A 21,000-nucleotide genomic window follows, 5' to 3' on the forward strand; every position below is an offset into this window, starting at 1 on the left:
CCATGGCTGTGCTGGGGCCTCACTCTGACCCTACAGGGAGGGTTTTTGTTTTGTTTTGTTTTGGTTTGGTTTTTTTGAGATGGAGCCTCACTCTGTCGCCCAGGCTGGAGTGTAGTGGCACAATCTCAGCTCACTGCAACCTCTGCCTCTCAGGTTCAAGCCATTCTCCTGCTTCATCCTCCTGAGTAGCTGGGACTACAGGCACCTGCCACCACGTCTGGCTAATTTTTGTATTTTTAGCAGAGACGGGGTTTCACCATGTTGGCCAGGCTGGTCTCAAACTCCCGATATCAGGTGATCCACCCGCCTTGGCCTCCTAAAGTGCTGGGATTATAGGCGTGAGCCACCGTGCCCGGCCTACAGGGAGGGTTTTGATGCCCCTGCAGTTGAGAAATGTGAGCCTTGGGGCTGTCAAGCAATAACCAGGTACCCCAGCAGGGGAGGGGCAGGGCTGGGCAGTCCACACTCATGTCCCTGGGCTGGTGAGGATACAGGTGCAGCATCTAAGATTGTTTGTGGCTCTGGGCGTGGAGAGGGGTCCTTGATGTCCATCCACTGGTGGTGCAGGAACATGAGGCCTGTCCCGTGGGCAAGTCTGTGGGCTGCAAGGCTGTGATCCATGTCCTAGCTCCTCCCAAGGCCATGCCTCCTGTGGGCCTGCACTGAGGGAGCCTTGGGAGGAGGTGGCCGTTATGTGGCCGTCACATGGCTGTGCAGCAGCCAGGCCAGCTCGGGCGCTGGCTCCCCGGAGGGCAGGTCCAGGCCATGTTGACTCTGGAGGCAGCCACATGGCTTTTGCTGGTTCCCTGCTGAGCTGGGCTTTGCAGCCTGTCACCTGTGCAACCCTTGGCCAGTATTTGTTTTGTTTTTAATGTTCATGATAGCTTTATTCATAATAGCAAAAAACTGGAAACAACCCTAAACAACTGGTAAATGGATAAACAAACTGCAGGTGCCTCCAGACAATGGAATACTACTCAGCAGTGAAGAGGGCAAGCTGCAACTTCTTGCAAAGGCCTGGGTGAGCCGCAAAGCCAGAGAAGCCCGCCTCAAAGTCAACGTGCTCCCTGGCTCCATTTACGTGACATTTTGTTGAATAGACTATTTTTTAAGCAGTTTTAGATCCATAGAAAAATTGAGCAGCAAGCACAGAGTCCCCTCTGTCCTCTTGGCATTATTTAACTTCTCCATCTGTAGATGTGGATATTGATGTGGACTTCACAGGGGCAGTGGGTGGCAGGAGATTCCTGGAGGTGGGTGTGGGCGTGCTTTGTAAACTGTAAAGTGCAGCACCCCAGTTAAAATTTATTCTCAGGCTCAGTAAGCCATGGGGTGGCTGCATAGCCACCGGGGCCTGCAGAGGGTGGGAGAGACTGGCTCCCAAGCCCAGCCCAGAGGTTCTGGAAAGGTAAGCCTGGTCACATTGCTCAGAGGTGAGGAGGAGGGACCCTCCAGCCCAACCTGGCCTCCTGCAAGGTTTGTCATTTGCGGGGATGACGGAAAACTACCAGCCTGTCTGCACAGCTCCAGCCAGAGCTCTTATCTCCCATCGGCTCGCCAGAGGCCTCGGCCCAGCCCCCAGCCGGCAGGAGGATGGGGCACCTCTGCTCCTGGAGAAGGAGAGGCCCTGTGGCTCCACCTGCCCTAAGGGCTGGCCCTGGACTCCTGCCAGGTCCCCACCCAGCCTGTGACATGCAATGCCAGGAGTCTAGAATGGCCTATCCCTGAGGGGGGTTCAGATCCTGGCTCTGTCCTGTCCCCCCTGTGTGACCTCAGCACATTCCTGCACCTCTCTTAACAAACCCTGCCAACAGCTGAGTTGCTTAGCACCTGCTATGTCGTGCAGCTTGGAGACCCTGCGCACCCTTTACCAGGACCCTGTCTCCCAAAGCTCGGTGAGGCGCCTGGTCATCCCCCAGGATGTGGGAGGCCGAGGCTGGGAGCAGAGGGCGGCCCGCACCTGCCACAGGGCTGATCTAGGCTGGGGCTGGGATTGGAATTCCATCCCCAGGTGCCCCCGACATGAGGTGAGCCGGGGACCAGCGTTCATGACGCAGTGGGAGCCCCTCCCAACAGGGCTGTGACTTCGCCGGGGATGGACCTTGCAGGGAGGCAGGCAGCTGCCCCACAAATCTGCCTCCCAGAGCCCTGAGCCGCCCACGGCTCTGGGTTGGGGTCTCAGCTGACATACAGTTACTGGAGTTTCTGTGGCTTCTCTGGACGTGGCCTGAGCCGGGCCAAGGGAGAGAACAGAAATGGAGGGACACATGTCTATGCCCTCAGCAGGCAGCACCACAGGACCCACACGAAACTCCTCCCCCTCATGAAACTCCTCCCCCATATGAAACTCCTCCCCCCACGAAACACCTCCGCCCGCAAGAAACTCCTCCCCTCACATGAAACTCCTCCCCTCACACGAAACTCCCTCCTCACATGAAACTCCTCCCCACACACGAAACTCCTCCTCCCACATGAAACTCTTCCGCCACATGAAACTCCTCCCCTCACATGAAACTCCTCCCCACCACACGAAACTCCTCCTCCCACACAAAACTCCTCCCCACGTCTTCCTCCCACACGAAACTCCTCCCCACACCAAACTCCTCCTCCCGCACGAAACTCCTCCCCTCACACCAAACTCCTCCCCTCACACGAAACTCCTCCCCTCATATGAAACTCCTCCCCCCACATGAAACCCCTCCCCTCACATGACACTCCTCCGCCCACCAAACTCCTCCCCCCCATGAAACTCCTCCCCTCGGGCCCCACGTGAGCCTGTAGCCAGCCCTCTGGGGGAACTGAGGCTTCAGTGGAAGGAAGGCCCTGAAAGCTTCTTCCAGGCTGGGGAAGGAGCACTAAGGGGAGGAAGATCACACTCCTCCAGCCACCGTGTTGAGACGCTGGGGCTGGGAGTCCCCTCTGCGTCCAGGTGTGTGGATGTCAGTGGTCAGTCTCCTTTCATTGGTGCCCACCTGCTTTCCTGCTTCTCATGAATGCCCACAAAGTGTTGGGATGACCACCAGCGGCTGCAGTATGATACCCCAGCTTGGCAGCCCCACGAAGAGGGGGTCCCAGGGCAGGTCCCACACGCTCCCAAAATTGCAGTGAAGCCACTCGGCCCCAGGGGCCTCCGGTGGGGACAGAGATGATTCTGCACAGGGACGTCAGACACTGCCGCCAGGCGGTCGTTCAGGTGGGAGGCGGCCCTGCAGGGGAGGTAAGACTGCTTTGCCCACCTCCTCCCTGAAGCCCCACTGGCCCCTGAGCAGCTGCAGGCTGGTGTCTCTTGGGCCTGCACTGATAGTTGCCTCCAGGTGTCCTGCCCTGCACGGCACTCCCTTGCCACACCCTGGGCTTCACAGCCTCGAGGGCAGGGGTCTGTGCCCCTGGAGCATGGAGCTCTCGGCTGCTGAGCCCCAGCCTGCCTCTGCGCCACCTTCAAACCTGGCTTGTATGGAGAAAGTTCTCCCTCTGGCCTCTGGCCTGGCTCCCTGGTGGCAGTGGTGTCCTCGGCTCAGGACTGCCCTGAGGGCCCTCTTCCAGCCCCGCCCCTGCTTGAGCGAGTGAGTGAGCAAGCCTTCCCCAGGTGGGCCCCTCCCTAGCTCCCAACCCTGACTTTTCCCCTGAGCCCAGGCTCTGCTGTGCTCTGTGCTAGGGCTGGATCTGCTGAAGCCGGGGCCAGAGGCCTGTGCTGCCCCCAACCTGGGAACCTCCAGACCACACTGATGCGACCGCTGCCTCCCAGTTCCCAGGAACAGATACTGAGCTCTGAGCAATGGGCACAATTTCAGACCCAGCGTCCTGGCGGTGCCATAAAACTGCAGCAGCGAAGCTCACTGGAGTCATTTTCTCCTGTGCTGCTGACACGGAGAGGAAAAATCCCCAAATAAAGCTCTTCCCACAGCCACAGCCACGAAAACATTGTCCCCTGCAACTGTGCTCGCTACTCAAACATGATTTCTCCTCCTCAGGGGGAAAAACCTCCCAGCAATTCTCATTGCAAGATGGTAAACCTGTCGCCCTAATGAACAGCTTTCATTTAGAACCCAGCGAGAAGGGGCGCACCGGGAGACGGCAGCTTTGTTGACTGCGATGTTTCCAAATCACTTGCTCAACCTGCAGCGTTCCCATGGAGCTTGGAGCGCCCAGCATAGGGCTTTATTGTTGTTTTGAGGCAAGAAAGAAGTTTTCAGAAGCCATACTTTGTGCTGATTCATGTTTCACCCTTGTGCCTACAAAGTCTCCCTCAAATGGGTATCCTGGTCCTCTTGCATGCCTCTGATGATGGGATGCTCACTACTTCCCAGTGCAGCCCCCCTTCATTGCAGGGGCTCATCACCAAGACTGCAGGGGAGGAGACTCAGAGCTCCCGTCTGTCCTGCTGTCTCCACCTATGAGTGTTTACTGAGCACCTGCTACATGCCAGGCCCTGTGCCAGGGCTGGGAGGGAGGAAGGGGCTTGCGGAGGGGCTGCCCTTTCAGGGGATGGAGCTCAGGGCTGGCTTGGCTGTGACAAGACCATGATGCAGGTTTGACACTCCTAAAGGAGAAAGGAATTGGGTGGGAGGAGCCTCAGTCACAGGTGGCAGCTGAGACAAAGGCCACCCATGCAGGGAGCTGGGACCAAGCTGGGACCCCCTGGGAAAAGCAGCCCTGGGGTGAGCCCCTCAGCCTCCAGCTTCCTCCGCACAGGTCCCCACGGCAGCCACAGTGAGGGTCCTCTGTCCTCCGTGGGGAGGGCCACGTACCCGGCATGATGGCAGCAGCTGGTGGTGCATGTCTAATATATGGCAGCTCAAGGGGATCAGCCTCTCAGCGGCCCCAGAGCAGCGCTCGGCGAGGGTGGGGACTGAAGCACCCCCATTTTATAGGAGAGGAGCAAGGCTTGGGGGTCGAGGGGACCTGTCCAGGTAGGATGTGAACACTGCTGCTTCACTAGCCTGTAAGACGCCCACGCACAGTCTGCAGCGCCTCCCAGCCCTGGGCGGTGAGAATCGGAACAACCCGAGCAAGCACAGCCCCGGGGCGGGGGTGAAGAGGGACCCCACCCAGCTGGCCCAAGGCAATGCCTCCTTACACCCGCCTAGAATAGGATCCTAAGCCTAGAATACACTGCGGGTGCAGCCTGCCCGCTGCATGAAGGATGGGCCCTGGCTTCCTAAGGCACGGACCTGGAGCACTTGATCCCGTGATGGATCAGGGGCTCCCGGACAGCTGCCCTGGGCTGACGGTTCCCGGGGTGGACAGCATCAGCCGGGGCTGGGCACACAAGGGGGAATTCAGTCCAGGAGGTTGGAGCGATGCGTGAGTGAAGAATGAATGAGTGAGGGAATGAATGATAGTTCAGGCGGTGGCCAGCAGTGCACCAGCTTCCCTCAGAGCTCCCTGCGCCCGGCCTGCCCATGCCCTCGCCTTCCTTTTCTCGTCTCTGCCTCTCCCACCCTTGTCACAGGCTGTCCCCTTCTCAGAGGCACTCGGAGTGCCCCTGAGTCTCCTCTCATTCCAGGAGGCTGAGCTGGACTCCCCGGAGCCTTGGGGTGGGGAGGGGCTTGGTGGGGGAGCTGGGGGCGGGGCCAGCCTTCCTTCTGGCTTGGATGCGCCCTTCCCAGTGACTCCATCACCTCATCAGCAAAGCCAGGGAGGCAGTGACACAGGTGCTGCTCCATGCGTGTGGGGGCTTGTCTCATCAGCTGGCACAGGCATGTGAGGACACGCAATAGGACAGGCCGGTCGGGTGAGGTGGGGTGAGTCTGGGACAGGCGATGGGGGCCCCTCGGGGCCTGAATGTTGGCCGACGGGCCCCTGGGACAGGTGCAGGGGGCAGTGCATCCTCTCCCCGCTCCCCAGTGCAGCCACAGAAACAGCAATAAAAGCCTTTTTGTTGCCTTTCCAGCCCAGACAAAATCAATAAATTCTGGAAACATGAGAACAGCTGACCTTTGAGATTTCTAGCAAACCTTCAAAGAGGAAATGTGGTTCGGGCTCCGGCTCAGAGCTCAGCACCAAGTCCAAGGCGCTGGGAACCTCCGCATAGGCCCAACTTGGGTCCTGCACTGTCACAGGGGTGAGACCCCAATCCTGCACGTGCTTCTCAGGCAGGCCTCACTCATGTGGATTCCAGAAAGTTCCGTGGATGGAACCTGCTCTTTCTGTGGTGAACGCCAGTATTGCTTTAGCTGTGTCTCAGCTGTTCCTTCTCCTCTAGAGAGTTCTCCAGCAGCTGCGAATTTGGAGCATGATCGGCTGGGGCGAGGACAGCACCACTTTGCAGATGGGGAAACTGAGGCCCTGAGTAGGCGGGATTTGGGGTTGATGCCAAGCTGCTTGGGCCTGATTCTCGGTTCACTGGGATTCACCCACCTGGGCCTTGGTGCAATTTCCAGAGGTTTGGTGGGGGAGCCGGGGGCGGGGCCAGCCCTGCTTCTGTCTTGGATATGAGCACCCCGGCAACTCTGTGGTCTCATCAGCAAAGCCAGGGAGGCAGCGACACTTGCGGGTCCCACTCGATGAGTGTGGGGTCCTGTCTCATCAGCCTGAGCAGGCATGTGAGGACCACTCCCCCAGCAGTAACCCAGGTCGCTGCAAGTGGCTATGGCATTCACTTTTGCCCAGGTGCCCAATTCAGTTATTTATTTATTTAGAGACAGGGTCTGTTTTTTTTGCCCAGGCTGGGGTGCAGTGGTACTATCAGGATTCACTGCAGCCTCAACCTTCCAGGCTCAAGCGACCCTCCTCCTACCTCAGCCTCCTGAGTAGCTGGGACCGTAGGCATGTGCAACCATGCGGGCTAATTTTTATATTTTTTTGGTAGAGATAGGGTTGCACCATGTTGCCCAGGCTGGTCTCCAGCCTCTGGGCTCCTGGAATCCTCCTGCTTCGGCCTCCCAAAGTACTGGGATGACAGTGCTGGGATTACAGGCATGAGCCATGCACCTGGCCATAATGTGGTTATGGATTGAGCTCCCACAAAGCGATGGTCATGCTCAGGGCTGAGGAGGGGCAGCCAGGGCCAGCCATGATCCCTGTGCTCTATGAATAGGACTCTATGGAGGGTGGGATGGAAGGGAAAGGGAAAAGACAGAGATGGAGACTGCCCCCCAACCCCAGGCTAATGACCGGACTCCTGCAGGAGGGGGTGGACTTGGGAGAAAGGCGAGGAGGCTTCTTGAGCTTTGAGTGTGAAGCTCGGAGAGAAGTCCAGCCCAGAGAGAATTTTGGGAGCCCTGAGCACAGATGGGGCCTCCTGCAGGTTGGTGTCATCTGCAGTGCCGAGAAATGCAATGCTGCTGTTCAGGCAGCCGCTCCCTTCCCCGGGAGAAGCAGAGGCCACGCAGACCCAGGCTGGCAGCCCAGGGCCACAAAGAGGGCTGGCGACGTGCTGGGCACAGAGCTGAGTGGCCACCTGCTGGTGCTGCCTGGACAGCCTTCTGCATTTTCACTGTGCCAGGCCTGGCTGCAGCCAAGGCTGCCAGCCAATCAGTGCTGGGGGCAAAGGTTCAGCTCTTCCATCTCACAACCACTCCCTGGCCTGTTTCCATCGCTGCAGTGCTGTGTGCCAGGTCCCTCCTGGAAAGTGGGTTTCTGAACATCCAAGCAGAGAGAGAAAGAGGAGGGTAGGCGGGGCTCCACAAGTAGGGCCCAAGCCTTTTTTGCACCATCCCTGCAGAGTGGGAGAGAGCTGCCTGCCCTCAGGAGAGAGCCCCAGGGAGGGAAGGAGCCTCCTGCAGCCTTGACCAAGCAAGCTGAGATGCCTGGAGGCCCAGCTGGCCTCCTCCCACCTGGAGCACATACGCACTGGAAGCAGCCTCCCCACAAACTCGCGGGAAATTGGGGGCTGGACCCAGAGGCAGGGGACCAGGCCAGCTTCACCCCAGGCCACTTTCTGCCTGGCTACACGCAAACCGATTGATGCTCAAGAGCAGCAAAAACCTCGTGTCTTTACCAACCAGCTTTTGCATGTTTTAATTAATGATGAACTTTATGTCTTAAGAAGGTTTAGGTTTACAGAAAAAGGAAAAAAAATGAGAAAATCATAGAGAGGGTTCCTATGTGCCCCCGTTTCCCTCATGTCGAGCATCTGGTACTGAGGAGGTACCAGCTGATGAGCCGATACTGATGTGGCGTCATTAACCGAAGCCCACAGTTCACATTAGGGTTGATTTTGGTGTTGGATATTCTCTGGGTCTGGACACATATATAGTAGCATGCATCCACTATTATAATACCGTGCAGAGCAGTGACACTGCCCTAAACATCACTGTCCCCCGTGGGGCTCTGCTGACTCACCCCTCCCTCCCCCTCCCCTCTGGCAACCGCTGATCTTTTTACCATAGTGCTACCGAAGTCTCCACAGTGCTGCCTTTTCCAGAATGTCCCCTAGTTGGAATCCTGCAGTGTGGCCTCTTCAGACTTGCTCTTTTCACTTAGCAACATACGTTTAGGGCTCCTCGTGTGTCTTCATGGCTTGAAAGCGCATGAATAATGTTCGATTATCGGGATGTAGCACAGTTTGTTTATCCACTCACATGCTGAAGGACATCGTGGTTGCTTCCAAGTTTTGACAATCACTAATAAAGCTGCTATAAAGCTGAGTGCAGCTTTCTGTGCAGACACAAGCTTTTAACTCTTCTTCAGTTTTGCCTCATCAAGACTTCCCTTGTGGTCCTGGAGACTTGAAGATGAAAGAGGCCTCGGGGGCAGTCCCTGAAGGCCGCGCCCTGGGGCAGGGCGGACACAGCCCTGGACAATGGGCCTGCTGTCTGGGGAGGGTGGCGAGGAGGCCGTGCCTCGGCCCAGGAAGGGCTTCCTGGAGGCAGTGTCAGGAGCTCGGGGAATGAGCCAGGGTCGAGCAGGTGGAAAGGGAGAGAAGAGCCCGGGAGAGGCCTCAGGTGAGCATGCATGTGGTGGGTGGTACGGAGCGGGGCAAGGGTGGGTGTGGGACGTCCACACCCTGCGGGCGCCAAGAACCACGTTAGGAAGGCCGGGCTTTCTCCAGGCAGATCAGACGTGGTTCAGCTTCCTGAGGGGGTGGATGGAGAGCTGGGCTGGGGTAAGGTGGGTGGCCACAGGGAATGGGGATGGAGGCGGCTGGGGTTGTATCTGTTGAGTGAAAGCCACGGGCTGTGCTTCTGAGATGCTCCCTGTGTTTCTGAGATGACATAAAGCACTGGCCCCTGGGGCTCCATCTGGCCCCAGCCCTCCAGCTCCTGCCCCTCCTGCCCCTCCAGCTCCTGCCCCTCTGCTGTTTCTGGACACAGCAGAGCAGGAAGTCAGGCCATGTCACGGTGGCGTGGACACCACACACACTGCTCATCTGGAGCCTGGCACCAGGACTCAGGCTGGAGGGCTTGGGAGCAGGCAGCTTACTGGGAGGTGGCCCCAGGGGGCACAGGCAGGGAGGGAGGACAGTGAGCTGGGAAGAGAAGGCGAGGCATTTGGGCTTGGGTCCCGGCAGGGGAGGGGTGGTCCAAGGCCACACCAAGCACAGGTCAGGTTCATTCCTCGGTGTGTCACGGGACAGCGTGCCGTGGGATGTGGTGGTAAGAGGGTGTCAGAACTTGTAGGGTTTGGGCTTCGGTTGGGCAATGTGAGGAGGGCTGAGGCAGCAGTGGGGTTGTCTCCAGACCAGATGCGGTCGGAAGCGGCAGTTCCGTGATGGGCATCTACTCAGTCGCGTCTGCAGGGAAGGAGGCCTGCAGCGGGGTAAAGTGGCAATTGGGCAAGTCCTGGGCCCTCCTTTAGCGCAGGAGAGGTGGCATTTTGAGGGTGGCACTGAAGCCTTGGCCTTGCTTAAAGTGGGTGTCCTTCAAGCTCGTTCCCGTCCTGCGAGAGGATGCAACTTTGCTGTCAGGTCGGTCTCTGGGTGGCAGAGGCTGCCTCTGAACCTTCCCACCTAGGTCGGGGAGCTGGTGTTTCTCTGCTGATTTTTCATTGGCCCAGGCCTTCCAGGCTGTGCACAGTGTGCTGGACATGCTCTGAGGCGCTGCAAAAGGAAAGAGCCTTGAGGAGGTGCTGGGGGCCACCTGGGAGATGAACCCCACGGAGAGCCAAGGGCATGGGGGGCAGGGGAAAGGGGGTGAAAGTGGCCACCTGGCCCAGCAGCTCCTCTAAGGGGCCATCCTAGCTTCCTCCTTCCTGTCCTGTCACCGTTTTCCTCCATCCCCGTAGAGGGGTGAATAATGTCCCCTCCCAATTCACGTCCATCTGGAGCCTCAAACTGTGGTCTTCTGTGGAGGTCTGGTCTCTGCAGATGTAATCAGGTAAGATGAGTTTATACTGGATGAGGGTGCACCCTAAACCCAACAACTGGTGTCTTTATAAGAAGAAAAGACAGAGACTCAGAGACATGGGGAGGAGGCCACGCGGAGATGGAGGCAGAGGCTGGAGCAATGCACCCAAAAGCCAAGAAACGCCTGGACCCACTAGGAGCTGGAGAGGCAGGAGGTAGCCTCCCTGGAGTCTCTAACACCTTGGGAGTGAGGCTCTGACCACACCTGGATCTCAGACTTCTGGCCTCCAGAACACATGAAAAGACATCTCTGCTGTTTGAAGGCCCCAGTTTGTGATCATCTGTGAAGGCAGCCCCAGGAAATTAATGCAGGCCTCCAGGGTCCCAGCCCCCCAAGTCTACCTTCCTGGGTCCCCTCAACCCTGCTTCACGTGTTCTTCTAACTTGAGCCCACAACTGCTCCACCTCAGACCCCGGTGAGCCCACCAGTCCTGCTCAGAACTGTCCCAGCCCTTTCCGCCTCCATTCCCCCCTTCCCCAACCCCAGCCAGGCCTGCCCACCCTCACACCGTACCCCCTGGGGACTGGCCGGGCTCGCCTGGTTCTCCATCGCTGCTTCCAGGCCCTGCACCCCACTCCTCAGGGCCCAGACCTACTCCCCAATCCCCATGGCTGCCACCCCCATCATGCCCTCATCCCTGGAGGCCGGCACCTGGCTTGCTGCCTTCTACAGCCATAGCCGTCCACACTGCAACCTGTGCAGAATGGGATGGCCATCCTTATCTCTCCATCTCAAAGTCTTCTCCAGATGGCTCAGAGTCAAAGAGGAAGTGAATCTCAAATTAAAGGCATTTAAAGTAATGATAATAACCCTCCCATCAAGATGAACTTCGAGGTTGGGGATCTTTTGTCCACAGCTGTGTCCTCGCGCCTGGCGCAGTGCCTGTGATGGACGCGTCCAGGAGTGGATCAATTTTCCCTTTTCCAGCCAGGGGACCTGGGCTTGGAGATGGGGTAACTCGCCCATAACAGCTGGACCTGGCTGGCTCCTGACTTCAGTCCGAGCTTTCCTAAGTTAGGCAGCACCGTTCCGGCCAGACCAGGCCAGCTTTACTTCCTGCAGCTGCTCTGAGATGGCCCCAGGGCCCATAGAGGGAGATGGCGGCTTGGGCGTAGACCTGGCATGAGGCTGGCACCTGGTGCTGCCCCTAGTGTCCCTGCTCAGCAATCACGCTGCCCTCTCAGGGTGGTGAAGCCCCCAGAACCCTCATCCTCTGAGCTGCTCCAGCCCACCTGACCTGGGAAAGCCTGTTGCTGTGATCTCTGACTGCCTTGCCAGCTTCTGTGGAGGAGGCTGTGTCTCTAATGGAGCACCCCAAGACTCCAGGCCCAGGAAGTGCAGGTGTGGGGTCCCTCCTCCCACCTCATCATGATGCTATAATGGCTTCCTTCCCTACATCCTCAGCCGCCCACCTGGAGCTCTGTGCTCCTCTCTCCCTTGTTCCCTCCCCGTCCCTTTCTCTCCATGCACGCAGCCCTGCCCTGCCCTGCTAGCTGGCTTCACTTTATACCTAGGACCACACACACACACATGCATACATGCACATGCACACCCAGGCACACACACATACGTGCACGCACACACGCATAGATGCACACACACATGTATGCACACAGTTCTGTGTGGCAAACCTTCCTCCCCTCTCCCAGGAAAAAGAACACTTCTCTCCTCTCCTGTCTGCACATGCAGGTCTTGACCTTCCTGCTCATGTTTCCTGAGGACAGAGGCCATTGGATGGAACAGCCTGGGCCTGTCTCCCACCCACCCTCAAAGGGCATGCCCTGCCTATCCCTCGCCCTAGCTCCTGCACCCTCCCTTCCCATAACTGCCATTCCTATTTGTCCACCTTCATCTCCCCATCAACCCTTCCTAGGCCCTAAAGATGCCAACTGCAGCCCCACACGAAGCTCTTACTGCACCCCCCAGGTGAGGAAACTGAGGCACAGAGGTCTGGAGCCCAGGCTCCCTCTTAGGGATTTCACCCAGGAGGCTGTACCCAGGGAGTGCGGGACCCCTGGACAAGCCATCCCCCTGTGGCCCCCTAGGCTCTGCCATTCTTTTCTTCACAGCAGGTCTTCTTGAAAGAGAAGGGGTTTGTCTGAGCCCCGTCTGCCCTCACCTTCCCTGGTACCCTCTGGCCAGACGTTTATCAAGGCCCACAGCAACCCTGGGCCACCAAGCCTGGCCACCACGCCTGGCACCTCTGTGTGCTGGCGTCTCGAATGCCCTCACCTGGATGCTCGCCCTGTCCTCCTGCACAGGTTCCTTCTGGGTGTCTGGGGCCCTGCGGCCCCTCCCTTACCCCACCTGAGTTGCTGATTCCTCTGGGGGTTGGGGCCCCAGAGCTCAGTGCTGCTCCTCCTGAGACCCCCTGCACACCACACAAGGGCCCCATATTTGCGTGCCTGGCCCTGGCTGTTGGGAACGACCTCCATCCCTGCACCTCCACTCACCACCCTGACACCTCTCCCTGGCTGTCCAACAAGCCCCTCCGACAGCTGAGTCCAAAGCCTGCTCCCCCAAAACATCCTGCTGCCCTCGCCTTCCCTCTCAGCCCCTGGTGTCTCCCGCCACCAACACTGACATGTTGGCGTCTCGGAGTCTCCTCCCTTCCTCTCATGCTCCTCACCATCTAGTCCCCAGCTCCAACATACTCTGAAGGCTTGAAGGGACAGCCAGAGGGTTTGGGAGGGAAGCGCCCATGATGTCTCACGGCTGGAGCACCTGGCAGGTGGGGGTGCCCTTTAGGGAGATGGGGGGCTGCAGGAGGGAGACATGAGGATGAGGAGAGGTCTGGAGCTGGTTCTGCCATGCTGAGCGGGAGGTGCCTGAGCTGCCTGCAAACCAGCAGGTGAGCTTCACAGAAGGCTGAGTGGAGCTGTCCGCGCAAGGGTGGTGCTGAAGGCGCAGGCATGCCTGGCCTCCCTGGCAGCAGGTCATCAGCGCAGGCAAGGGCGCTCCAGGCAGCCACTGGCGTCTCTGGACTCAGTTGGAGCAGAGACATGGAACATATGATGGTAGCGCCCCTCACATCCCGAGTTCCTAAGTCAGGGGGCCCACCAGCCCAAAAGGGAGCCACTGTTCTCCCCAGTTGACCAGTGTGCACACAGCAGTGGGGGAAGCACTGCTCACCATAGGGTGACCAAGGGGCCATCCCAGACCCCAACCCTACATTCAGGAGACTTCCCACCACCCTTTACCTCAGCTTCCCGTTCATGGAAGAAGGCTCACACCCTGTCAATGCCTGCTGGAAACATGTGTGTGAGTCGGCAGAATGGCTGGTGGGTACCATCTGCTCCCACCCTTCCACTGGCCCTTTCAGTACGTGCATTTCTGAAAATGCCTGTGTCCTGCATGCCTCTGTTCCTTCCAACATAAATCCTGGCTTAGCCTAAGTCAGCCATGGGCAGGGACAGCCCTTCAATTTCAGTAGGAAATGAGATTGTCGTGAGCTGATATGGGTTTGCAGTCGTGGGCACCAGATCAGAGGACGAGGAATGCGCATGTAGGTGTGTGTTGGGGTGGGTGTTGTGCCCACTCCTGTGGTATGCACACATGTGTGTGCTGTGGAGCAGGTGTGTGGGCACAGGTATACATCTAGACATATAAATAAAGCATTTCTTCAGGTCACATGTCCAAAGGCAAGATGCAGACAGCATTTTCAGTTTTTATTTTTCTCAAAAAGACCCACATAAAGAAAGACTTCTCTTGATGAACTGTAGAGGGCTTGCCCTGGGAAGGCAAGCCTGAAGGGGGCGCTGCAGGGTCTAATTCATGTTCCCAGCACAACAGAGCTGATCTCTCCACCACCTGATGAGAGTTGCTGCTGGGTTTTCCTGAGTGTCAGATCGGGGGTGTCCAAAGGCATCCGTGGGGCTCCTCACTCTTCTCTCTTCAACTCTCCTCTCCTCTGTCTCCTTCCCTCTCTCTCTTTGCTCTTTTCCTCCCCTCTGCCTCTCCCTCAGTTCTTGCATTCTGATTATTTTTTTTTTTTGCGGGAGTTGGTATAGATAAGCAGTATCAGATCAGCCTCTTTCCCAAGGACAGCTGGGCTTGGTGAGGTCTGGGGCCAGAGTCAGCTTCGGGAGGTAAAAACAGCCAGGGAAAACCTTCACGTTTGTCTCTAACTTTCCATAGCTGGAATATCAGGTTAAAATTAATTTCACAGTCAGCTGTGATGGGAGCGGGTTTCAGTCTGGCAGTGTTCAATAGGTTTCCAGTTGCACACTGGGGTCCATGGGAATAATGCCACAATCGACTAGTGATGCCTGCCAAGGGCAGGGAGAGGAGGAGGTGACATGATTGCTATGTGCTGGGTAAGGCCAATTTGGACATTGTGGGTGTGGCTAAGAGAGAGGCGAGGGCCACCCTGGTTACATGTGACATCCCAAAGCCTTCACTATTCCTAGAGCCATCTTGCAGCCCGTCCTTCAGACATGTGCTGCTTCCCTCAGCCCTTCCCTTGACATGTGCTGCTTCCTCCACCCTCTGCCTGGTGACCTCACTCATCCTTCAGTGTCCAGCACAAGGGGCCCCTCCCATGTGCCACCCTGTACCATGCAGACACCAGCCACCTGGACCCTCTGCACTGTCTGCTGCTGGCCAGGGGCCCTATGGCTAACTCTTAGTGCTTGGTGCCCTCGACTCTGGCATCAGGCAGTGGCTCTGAGCCTGTGGGATGAATGGAACTGAGTGATGTTCTCTCAGACTCTCCTGCCTCACAGTCAGGGCCTAGCAAATGGGAAAGGGGCCTCTGCCCCATTTCCAGCAAGCAACAGAGGTGTTGGGCTTCACAGAGACAAAAGGAAAGCTTGGCTCCTGCCCCAGGTCCACCTTTTCAGGGGCATCAGGAAATGGCAAAGTTGGATATCATGGACTGGCACCATTAGAATGCCCAGGAAAGTGGCATCAAGTTACCACAGATTGCTAGGGTATTTTTAATCAGTTTTGAAAACAACATCAAGGTACATTTCAGAGGAAAGCATGTTATCAGAGATGAAAAGATGAATCATGATAATGAATCATTTCATAATGACTAAGAGATCAATTCAATAAGAAAACAGAACAATCTTAAATGTATATGCACATAACAACAGAGCTTAAAGTAAATAAAGTGAAAATAAATAAAACGGATATAACTAAATGGAGAAATAGAAACTCCACAATGATGGTCTGGGATTTCACTACACCTTTCTCAGTAATTAATAGAACAAGTAAGCCCAAAACCAATAAAGAAATAGAAGACTTGAATAACACTATCACCAACGTGACCTGATTGACATTTATACACATGCTACCACCACCAGAAGAACGTACATTCCTTTCAAGTGTATACTGAACAATGACATTAGACCATATTCTGTGTTATAAAAACAAGTATTACTAACTTCGAAATGATACAAATCACACAAAATATGTTCTCTGACCACAATGTAATTAAGTCAGAAATCAATAACAGAATTATATCTCAAAAGAAAATCTCAAAATTTTTGGAAACAATTGATACACTTCTAAAGAACCCATGGGCTAAAGAAAATATCAAAATGGAAAATTGAAGATATTTTTAACTGGATGAAAATAAAAACACAACATATTAAAAATGGTGGAATGTTGCTTAAACAGTGCTTAGAGGGAAATGCATAACACTACATGCTTAGACTAGAAAAGAAGAAGGTCTCCAATCAATGATCTTAGACTTCACCTCAGGAAACTAGCAAAAGAAGGGCAAATTAAACCCAAAGTAGACAGGAGAAAATAAATAAAGAGCAGATCAGAAGTCAGTGAAATAGAAAACAGAAGAACAATAAAGAAAATCAATAAAACCAAAACCAATTACTTGAGAAAATGAATAAAACTGATAAATCTCTAGCAGACTGATAGAACAAAGAAGAAGAAATAAATCACCAGTTTCAGGAATGAAATAGGTGACATCACTATAGATCCTACAGATATTGAAAGGATAATAGGGAATGTTATGAGCAACTTTACAATACTTTTGACTCCTAGAAGATATGAACAAATTCTTTGAAAAATACAAACTATCAAAGCTTACTAAAGAAGAAATTGGTAACTGGAATAGCACTGTAAGTGTTAAAGAAATTGGATTTGTGGTAAAACACCTTCCCACAAAGAAAACTACAGGCCCAGATGGCTTCCCCAATGTTTGGATTGTACCAAAGATTTCAATAAAAATAATACCAGCTGTACACAAACACTGCTAGGAAATAAGAGAGGAGAGAATAAATATTAACTTGTCCTATGAGACTAATATTACCCTGATACCAAAAGCAGACAAAGACATTACAAGAAAAGATAATTAGGGACCAATATCTCTCATTAACACAGATGTAAACATTTTCTAACAAAATGTTATCAAGCTGAATCCAGTAATATGTAAAGAGGATGATACATCATGGCCAAGTGGGTTTTATCGCAAGAATGCAAGGTTGGTTTAACATTCAAATATCAGTCAATGTAACTCAACATGTTAGCAGGCTACAAAAGAAAAACCACATGACCATCTCAATAGATTCAGAGATGCATTGGACAAAATCCAACATCCATTTCTGACTGAAAAAAAAAAAAAAAACCCTTAGCAAAGTAGGAATTAGGGGATTTCCTTAACCCAATGAAGGGGATTTATGAAAAGCCTACAGCTGACATACTTAATGGTGAAAGACTGAATGCTTTTCTCCTTAGATCAGGAGCAAGTCAGGGATAGACTCCCTCACCCAGGTCAAATTTTAACAACATCGTGTTGCTGTTACTGCCACTGCCTTTATGTGATTTAAAGCTAAGTGGCTTCCTGTCCTGGGGAGCCCCTTCTCCTTCTGCCCACCTTTTGCAGCTGGCTCTGACTTTCAGCTCCAGCTCCAGCCTGGCAAACCTCCCTGGCCTCCCCAGACCCTTGGTTTGCCAAGTCCTTATAAGCCCCATAGTCCTGGCTCTTCTATTAAGTTGATGAATACTTTCTAGATAGTTTAGAGTTACTTCAGTTAGGTTGTATGTTCCTTAAAGGTAGCTATGCATAGAGGTGCCCAGTAATTACTTATTTTGCAATATATGTGGGCCCACTGAACCCACCGACAAGCCACCCCTGGTCTTGCAAAGCTGTGATCATGCTCCTAGACTCTCATAGTCACGTGGAGTCTTCACTGCAGTAGAAAGGACCACAGGGCAGGGAGTCAGAGGGACTTGATAGAGCCCTATCCTCAAGGAATCACAGCCAATGGCTAAGGAAGGAGTGGGGGCAGGGACTAAATTAGACCACCAATGGCTAGAGCACAAAGGAAACTCCAGGAGACTGACACAGAAGTTCAGGGTAGGAAGTGGGTTCCTCCAATGGGAGAACTGAGTAGTGCTTTGTAGAAGGGACTGTGTTCACATTGACCTGGGCAGGTGCTTGTGATTTCAGCTGGTGGGAGGGATGGGTGTGGACATTCTAAGAGGGGGCAATGGTGTGGACCATGTGACAGAGTCCTGCACAGGGAATTGGGGGGTCACAGAGTCACTCACTGGGATTCTCCCGCCATGAGGACCAGAGTCCTTCACCTAAGAGCCAGTGCTGTGGAGCATGGTGGATGTGAGCAGGGGCTGCAGTCAGACATCCAGGGCTCAAATGCCCACATGACCATTTGCATATGTTCACTGCCCAACTATACCTCCACACCATTGAACTCAGGAGTAGAGATGTGACTGACTTTCGACAATGAAAGGCCACTGGAAGTGATGTGTCTCTCTTGGGAAGCATGAGGTTCTCTGCGAGGCTCCTCCCCTGGGCAGTACCCCACCTGGTGGCTGCCCCATTCACCTGGACACTGGAGTGAAGATGATAGATAGGCAGCTTGAGTGCGAGGTAGGCATGGATTGCTATCAGCCACTGAGTGTGGGGATGTTTGTTACTGCAGCATCACCTAGCCCAAGCTGACTGATACAATTGGCTTCCTATGTTACTTGAGCAATCTGTGGTTTAGCTTCCTCAACAGGAAAGAGGGGATAATGACAGCACCTACCTTTTGGGGTGGGTGTGAAGATTAACAGGCTTCTTATAGGTAAAGCACATTGAAAAGTGCCTAGCACAAAACATACACAATATGAGCATCTGCTGTTTTCTCTCACTTGTAGCCTTGATTTCCTAAGTCCAGCTGTAAAGTAATTTTCCACACTGGAGTCCCATAGAACACTCGTTCTTAAGGCGCTAATAGATGTGCCATCAAAAAGACATCTGCATTTGAGAAAATACTGGGTTAAACCAAGTTAAACAGTTGCATTTAATTGCCAGACTTCTCAGAGTCTTTAATCTGCTAATGCACCACTGAATCTCCAAGAGACAGTTTCCCCTCATATTTGGCCACGAACATGTATGTGTGTGCATGTACATGTGTGTCACAGTGATTAACTTCACCCCGGGCTCTGCCCTGTGGGATGGCTTTGGAAAAGGTGGGCTTTCCAGCAATGCCTTGTGGAGTGGTCCTCTAGTGGGCACCGGGTGCTTTCTGAGTTTGGTAGGGATATTTGGGGTGAAGCCAGCACTAAAGAAGCTTGGAGGGGCATGAAGCCATAATGGAGAGGGACTTCAAAGTCACAGGGCAAGGAGCCCGGGAGAGCCCAGAGGAGCCACTTCACCCGCGCAGGGCCGCAGAGGCTGTAGAGCAGCTTTGGGAGTGGTCCAGGAGCCTGGGGGGCGGTTGGGGGTGGGTATGCCCTGCGCAGCCAAGAACCCTGGACAGGAGTGCCTTTAACGTGCAGGGGCTGGGGGCACTGGGCCAGCTCAGGGTCCAGAGTCAGAGGGGCAGACAGCCAGGACGGATGCGGGAGAGGAAGGCCACAAAGGTGGGCTGCTCTTCTGAACAAGTCCCTGGGTAGTGAGGCAGAGAGGAGAGGCAGTGACTGGGGACAGCGGCAGGGCCCAGGAGAGGGGAGAACCGAGAACCGAGGCCTTCTGCAGGTGAAGGAGAAGGAGTGTCAGGTGGACTGGGGCCCTGCGGCACATGGAGTCCTGTCTGGGAGACGGGACGGAAGGACCGGTGTGCGGGCAGGGATGTTATGCGTGCAGAAGTTCTTGGAGGCAGCGGGCTGGTGGGGCAGAGTCAGGGTGGGGTGTCCACCTCTGGGGACTGGTCCTGACTCTGCTGCCCAGAACTTAGGCCGCTGGACTCTCAGAAGCCTGGATTTCCCTTCCTCTTGGCAAGGCCCCCGGGCCATGGTTAATTGGATCTGAGAATTTGGTGTGGCTGTTTACAGAAAGCTTTTTGTCCTTAGGACAGGATGGAAATTGGATTTCGTGTTCCTGGCTGGGAGATGCTCCCCAATTCCCGACTCTCATCCTGCTCTGTGGGGGTCTCAGACAGCTGCTTCGGCTCTCGACAGATGATAAATTATGCATCCACTTAATGCCTGCTCGGGCCAGCTCCATGCCAGTGTGCAAGTAGTCCAAATCTCTGGTCTCTAGACACATCCATTTCGCTTGCATGAGCCTCTGGGCTCCTGCCTGGCCAGAGCCTGGCGGTGACTGGAGAATTTTCCTGATCAGTTGCCTGGGCTTGGGTTGTGGTTGCTGGTTGTGCAGGTGGGTCTGTGGGCACCGCCCCCCAGCACAGCTCAGACCTTAGGGGCTGAGCTACCAGACGGGGCCTTGGGTGAGTGATGGATGGCTTTGTGAATCACTCATAAACATTTACTTTCACAGAAATGTGTAACAGTCACTGGACACCTAGCCTTGGCAAAGACGGTTTCAAATGTGCTGGTCAGAGTTTTGGAGACCATTCCAACTTCGTGTGGGACTCTTGGACTCCTTATCCTATGACCACTCTCTTCTCTCCCACTCCAAAACTGAGGAGTCTGCCTCCTTCAGGAAGCCCTCAGGGATTCCTCTCTCCTCCTCCCAACTTTCACCACTGGGGCCACTCACTGACTCAGATACAGGGTGCCCAGGGATGAGCTTTTGTTCCTAATCACAAGACTCTCCCAAAGGTTGTGGGGACCTCCTCCTGGGCACTGACTTCTTCTCCATCTCTCCAGAAACTCTTCCTGAGCCAAGAGAGGCAGAGAGGGAGGCATTCAGGGAGAGCAGGGGCTTGAACGAACAGGAAAAATCGAGAGAAGGGGAAAGAACAGGGCTCCCCAGGCTGCCTGACAGGCCGGGCCCAGGCCAAGCGATCTCCAGGGTCTTTAAGGATATCTGGCAAAGTGCATTCCATCACTCCACCCAGAAAGAGAAACGGAGGCTCGTGGGAGGGGATTTCATGGTTCAGCAGCAGCAGGATGAGGATCCATGCTCCAGGGACACCCAGAGGTGAAGGAGCCTCCAGGACACCTCTGCTCTGGCCCACACGGCCAGACATGGGTTTGAGCCTCATCCATCCATACACCGGGCCCTTTGTGCACCAGGCCTCACCTTCCAGGTGCAGACAGTGAGGCACGGAGTGAACAGTGACGCAGCTCAGGGAAAAGCATCATGGCGGGGATACTCCGGCCTCCACTCCACCACCCGCACACCTGGCCCCCAGACCCTCGCTGACGCAGGCCACTCGCGTGCCTGTGTACCGTGCAAGGGCCTCGTGGGTGACTCAGAATTATGCAGATGTGAAGCTATGTTATTAATATGATTAGCCTTACTTTGTGAGCAGAGCTTAAAATCATCGAGCTTGGCGGCAAGTTGCTTTGCCTCCCTGACCTCAGGCTCTTCCTCTAAAGATTAGGTTTTCAGGCC

The 21,000-nt window shown here is 54.8% G+C and overlaps 1 long non-coding RNA gene across 1 annotated transcript, besides 4 other annotated features; it reads left to right on the forward strand.

Annotated features, from left to right (window-relative positions):
- Positions 1,853–4,199, forward strand: LOC124900651 (uncharacterized). Its single transcript, XR_007057997.1, has 2 exons — positions 1,853–2,027; positions 3,656–4,199. It is a non-coding gene; the product is annotated as an uncharacterized LOC124900651 (long non-coding RNA).
- Positions 1,898–2,530: an enhancer, noted in NCBI's record as "H3K4me1 hESC enhancer chr4:3782589-3783221 (GRCh37/hg19 assembly coordinates)". NCBI's record gives its function as "activates a minimal SCP1, AML or CMV promoter by ChIP-STARR-seq in naive H9 embryonic stem cells {active_cell/tissue: H9 hESC(naive)}" and the evidence as "EXISTENCE:reporter gene assay evidence [ECO:0000049][PMID:30033119]".
- Positions 9,158–9,277: an enhancer, noted in NCBI's record as "active region_21226". NCBI's record gives its function as "activates an Ori minimal core promoter by ATAC-STARR-seq in GM12878 lymphoblastoid cells {active_cell/tissue: GM12878}" and the evidence as "EXISTENCE:reporter gene assay evidence [ECO:0000049][PMID:35858748]".
- Positions 12,412–12,946: an enhancer, noted in NCBI's record as "H3K4me1 hESC enhancer chr4:3793103-3793637 (GRCh37/hg19 assembly coordinates)". NCBI's record gives its function as "activates a minimal SCP1, AML or CMV promoter by ChIP-STARR-seq in primed H9 embryonic stem cells {active_cell/tissue: H9 hESC(primed)}" and the evidence as "EXISTENCE:reporter gene assay evidence [ECO:0000049][PMID:30033119]".
- Positions 12,947–13,480: an enhancer, noted in NCBI's record as "H3K4me1 hESC enhancer chr4:3793638-3794171 (GRCh37/hg19 assembly coordinates)". NCBI's record gives its function as "activates a minimal SCP1, AML or CMV promoter by ChIP-STARR-seq in naive and primed H9 embryonic stem cells {active_cell/tissue: H9 hESC(naive and primed)}" and the evidence as "EXISTENCE:reporter gene assay evidence [ECO:0000049][PMID:30033119]".

The sequence above is a fragment of the Homo sapiens genome, chromosome 4 (assembly GCF_000001405.40).
Source record: "Homo sapiens chromosome 4, GRCh38.p14 Primary Assembly".
NCBI lineage: Eukaryota > Metazoa > Chordata > Mammalia > Primates > Hominidae > Homo > Homo sapiens.